The sequence below is a fragment of the Homo sapiens genome, chromosome X (assembly GCF_000001405.40).
Source record: "Homo sapiens chromosome X, GRCh38.p14 Primary Assembly".
NCBI lineage: Eukaryota > Metazoa > Chordata > Mammalia > Primates > Hominidae > Homo > Homo sapiens.
This window is the reverse complement of record NC_000023.11, coordinates 58,466,436-58,471,495: the sequence shown is the minus strand read 5'-3', so window position 1 is coordinate 58,471,495 and position 5,060 is coordinate 58,466,436. Positions and strand designations below refer to the sequence as shown.

Sequence of the window (5,060 nt, the reverse complement as noted above, 5' to 3'; positions counted from 1 at the left end):
ACTTCTAAAAGACTGTTTGCAAGCTGCTCAATCAAAAGAAAGTTTCGACTCTGTGAGATGAAACCACACATCAAAAAGAAGTTTCTCAGAAAGCTTCTGTCTAGTTTTTATTTGAAGATATATTTCCTATTTCACCATGGGCCTCAGGGGGCTCACAAATATCTCTTTGCAGATTCTTCAGAAAGACTGTTACCAAACTGCTAAATCAAAAGAAATGTTCAACTCTGTGAGATGAATGCACACATCACAATGAAGTTTCTCAGAATGCTTCTGTCTGGTTTTTATTTGAAGATATTTCCTATTTCACCATGGGCCTCAAATGGCTAAAAAGTATCCTTTCGCAGATACTACTAAAAGTCTGTTTCCAAACTGCTCAATCAAAAGAATGATTCAACTCTGTGAGATGAATACATCACAAAGAAGTTTGTCAGAACATTATTGTCGAGTTTTTATGTGAAGATATTTCCTTTTTCACCATAGGCCTCAAACCGTTCAAAAATATCCGTCTGCAGATTCTACAAAAAAACTGTTTCCAAACTACTCAATCAAAAGAAAGGTTCAACTCTGTGAGATGAATGCATGCATCACAAAGAAGTTTCTCAGAAAGCTTCTGTCTAGTTTTTATGTGAATATATATCTTATTTCACCATAGGTCTCAACGGGCTCACAAATATACCTTTGCAGATTCTACAAAAAGACTGTTTCCAAACTGCTCAATCAAAAGAAAGGTTCAACTCTGTCAGATGAACGCACTCATCAAAAAGAAGTTTCCCAGAATGCTTCTGTCTAGTTCCTATGTGAAGATATTTCCTTTTTCACCATAGGCCTCAAACCGCTCACAAATATCCCTCTGCTGATTCTACAAAAAGACTGTTTCCAAACTTCTCAAACAAAAGAAAGATTCACCTCTGTGAGATGAATGCACATATCAGAAAGAAGTTTTTCAGAAAGCTTGTGTCTAGTTTTTATGTGAAGTTATTACCTTTTTCACCACAGGCCTCAAACCGCTCGAAAATATTCGTCTGCGGATTCTACAAAAAGACTGCTTCCAAACTGCCCAATCAAAAGAAAGGTTCATCTCCGTGAGATGAATGCACACATCATGAAGAAGTTTCTCAGAACGTTTCTGTCTAGTTTTTTTGTAAATGTATGTGCTATTTCACCATAGGCCTCAATGGGCTCACAAATATACCTTTACAGATTCTCCAAAAAGAAAGACTGTTTCCAAACTGCTCACTCAAAAGAAAAGTTTAACTCCATGAGATGAAAGCAGCCATCACAAAGGAGTTTCTCAGAATGCTTCTGTCTAGTTTTTATGTGAAGATATTTTCTTTTTCACCATAGGCCTCACACTGCTCACAAATATCCCTCTGCAGATTCTACAAAAAGACTGTTTCCAAACTGCTCAATCAAAAGAAAGGTTCAATTCTGTGAGATGAATGCGCACATCAGAAAGAAGTTTCTGAGAAAGCTTCTGTCCAGTTTTTATGTGAAGATATTTCCTTTTTCATCATAGGCCTCAATAAGCTCCAAATATCCATTTGCAGATTCTGCAAAAAGACTGTTTCCAAACTGCTCAATCAGAAGAAATGTTCAACTCTGTCAGATGAACGCATGCATCAAAAAGAAGTTTCCCAGAATGCTTCTGTCTAGTCCTTATGTGAAGATATTTCCTTTTTCACCATAGGCCTCAAACCGCTCACAAATATCCTTCTGCCGATTCTACAAAAAGAGTGTTTCCAAACTGCTCAAAAAAAAGACAGATTCACCTCTGTGAGATGAATGCACACATCAGAAATAAGTTTCTCAGAAAGCTTGTGTCTAGTTTTTATGTGAAGTTATTACATTTTTCACCACAGGCCTCAAACCACTCAAAAATATTCGTCTGCAGATTCTACAAAAAGACTGCTTCCAAACTGCCCAATCAAAAGAAAGGTTCATCTCTGTGAGATGAATGCATGCATCACAAAGAAGTTTCTCGGAACGTTTCTGTCTAGTTTTTTTGTGAATATAAATGCTATCTCACCATAGACCTCAATGAGCTCACAAATATACCTTTACAGAATCTCCAAAAAGACTGTTTCCAAACTGCTCACTCAAAAGAAAAGTTCAACTCCGTGAGATGAAAGCACCCATCACAAAGGAGTTTCTCAGAATGCTTCTGTCTAGTTTTTATGTGAAGATATTTCCTTTTTCTTTTTTTTTTTTTTTTAGAAAATAAGAAGCCATAAAATTTTATTTTTTATTTTCAAAAAGATATTTCTTTTTTTTATTTTTTTTTAATGTTAATTGTTTTTTTTTATTTTTATTTTTTTTTATTTTTAATGTTTTTTTTTTTTATTATACTCTAAGTTTTAGGGTACATGTGCACATTGTGCAGGTTAGTTACATATGTATACATGTGCCATGCTGGTGTGCTGCACCCACTAACGTGTCATCTAGCATTAGGTATATCTCCCAATGCTATCCCTCCCCCCTCCCCCGACCCCTCCACAGTCCCCAGAGTGTGATATTCCCCTTCCTGTGTCCATGTGATCTCATTGTTCAATTCCCACCTATGAGTGAGAATATGCGGTGTTTGGTTTTTTGTTCTTGCGATAGTTTACTGAGAATGATGGTTTCCAATTTCATCCATGTCCCTACAAAGGACATGAACTCATCATTTTTTATGGCTGGATAGTATTCCATGGTGTATATGTGCCACATTTTCTTAATCCAGTCTATCATTGTTGGACATTTGGGTTGGTTCCAAGTCTTTGCTATTGTGAATAGTGCTGCAATAAACATACGTGTGCATGTGTCTTTATAGCAGCATGATTTATAGTCCTTTGGGTATATACCCAGTAATGGGATGGCTGGGTCAAATGGTATTTCTAGTTCTAGATCCCTGAGGAATCGCCACACTGACTTCCACAATGGTTGAACTAGTTTACAGTCCCACCAACAGTGTAAAAGTGTTCCTATTTCTCCACATCCTCTCCAGCACCTGTTGTTTCCTGACTTTTTAATGATTGCCATTCTAACTGGTGTGAGATGATATCTCATAGTGGTTTTGATTTGCATTTCTCTGATGGCCAGTGATGATGAGCATTTCTTCATGTGTTTTTTGGCTGCATAAATGTCTTCTTTTGAGAAGTGTCTGTTCATGTCCTTCGCCCACTTTTTGATGGGGTTGTTTGTTTTTTTCTTGTAAATTTGTTTGAGTTCATTGTAGATTCTGGATATTAGCCCTTTGTCAGATGAGTAGGTTGCGAAAATTTTCTCCCATGTTGTAGGTTGCCTGTTCACTCTGATGGTAGTTTCTTTTGCTGTGCAGAAGCTCTTTAGTTTAATTAGATCCCATTTGTCAATTTTGGCTTTTGTTGCCATTGCTTTTGGTGTTTTGGACATGAAGTCCTTGCCCACGTTCCTTTTTCATCATAGGCCTCAATGAGCTCCAAATATCCATTTGCAGATTCTACAAAAAGACTGTTTCCAAACTGCTCAATCAAAAGAAAGGTTCAACTCTGTGAGACAAAAGCACACATCACAAAGAAGTTGCTCAAGAAGATTCCATCTAGTTTTTATGTGAAGATATTTCCTTTTTCATCATAGGCCTCAAAGAGCTCCAATATCCATTTGCAAATTCTACAAAAAGACTTTTTCCAAACTGCTCAATCAATAGAAAGGTTCAACTCTGTGAGATGAAAGCACACATCACAAAGAACTTTCTCAGAATGCTTCTGTCTAGTTTTTATGTGAAGATATTTCCTTTTTCACCATAGGCCTCAAACTGCTCACAAATATCCAATTGCAGATTCTACAAAAAGACTGTTTCCAAACTGCTTAATCAAAAGAAAAGTTCAATTCTGTGAGATGAATGAAAGCATCACAAAGAAGTTTCTCAGAAAGCTTCTGTCTAGTTTAAACGTGAATATATATCCAATTTCACCATAGGCCTCAATGGACTCACATATATACCATTGCAGATTCTACAAAAGGACTGTTTCCAAAATGCTCAAACAAAAGAAAAGTTCAACTCTGTGAGATGAATGCGCCCTTCACAAAGAAGTTACTCAGAATGCTTCTGTCTAGTTCTTATGTGAAGATATTTCCTTTTTAACCATAGGCCTCAGACCGCTCAAAAATATCCATCTGCAGGTTCTTCATAAAGACTGTTTCTAAACTTGTCAACCAAAAGAAATATTCAACACTGTCAGATGAATAGACGAATCACAAAGAAGTTTCTCAGAAACTTCTGTCTAGTTTTTATGTGAATATATATTGTATTTCACAGTATTCCTCAATGGGCTCACATATGTACATTTGCAGATTCTACAAAAAGACTGCTTCCAAACTGCTCAATGAAAAGTTCAACTCTGTGAGATGAATGCACCCATCACAAAGAAGTTACTCAGAATGCTTCTTTCTAGTTTTTCTGTGAGTATATTTCCTTTTTCACTATAGGCTTCAAACCGCTCACAAATATCCCTCTGCAGATTCTACAAAAAGTCTGTTTCCAAACTGCTCAATCAAAAGAAAGGTTCAGCTCTCTGAGATGAAAGGATACATCAAAAAAAGTTTCTCAGAAAGCTTCTGTCTAGTTTTTATGTGAAGATATTTGCTATTTCACCATAGGAATCAATGGGCTCAAAAATATACCATTGAAGTTTCTACAGAAAGACTGTTTCCAAACTGCTCAATCAAAAGAAACGTTCAACTCTGGGAGATGAATGCACACATCACAACGAAGTTTCTCAGAATGCCTTTGTCTAGTTTTTATGTGACGATATTTCCTTTTTCACCATAGGCCTCAAACAGCTCACAAATATCCCTCTTCAAAGTCTAAAAAAGACTGTTCCTAAACTGCTCAATCAAAAGAAAATTTCAGTTCTGTGAGATGTAAGCACACATCACAAATAAGATTCTCAGAAATTGCCTATCTAGTTTTTATGTGAAGATAATTCCTTTTTCACCACAGGCCTCAAAGCGCTCCAAATATCCATTTGCACATTCTACAAAAAGACTGTTTCCAAACTGCTCAATCAAAAGAAAGGCTCAACTCTGTGATATGAAATCAC

The 5,060-nt window shown here is 36.5% G+C and overlaps 1 annotated feature.

The window, feature by feature from the left end:
• Window positions 1,385–1,886: an enhancer, noted in NCBI's record as "NANOG hESC enhancer chrX:58496043-58496544 (GRCh37/hg19 assembly coordinates)". NCBI's record gives its function as "activates a minimal SCP1, AML or CMV promoter by ChIP-STARR-seq in primed H9 embryonic stem cells {active_cell/tissue: H9 hESC(primed)}" and the evidence as "EXISTENCE:reporter gene assay evidence [ECO:0000049][PMID:30033119]".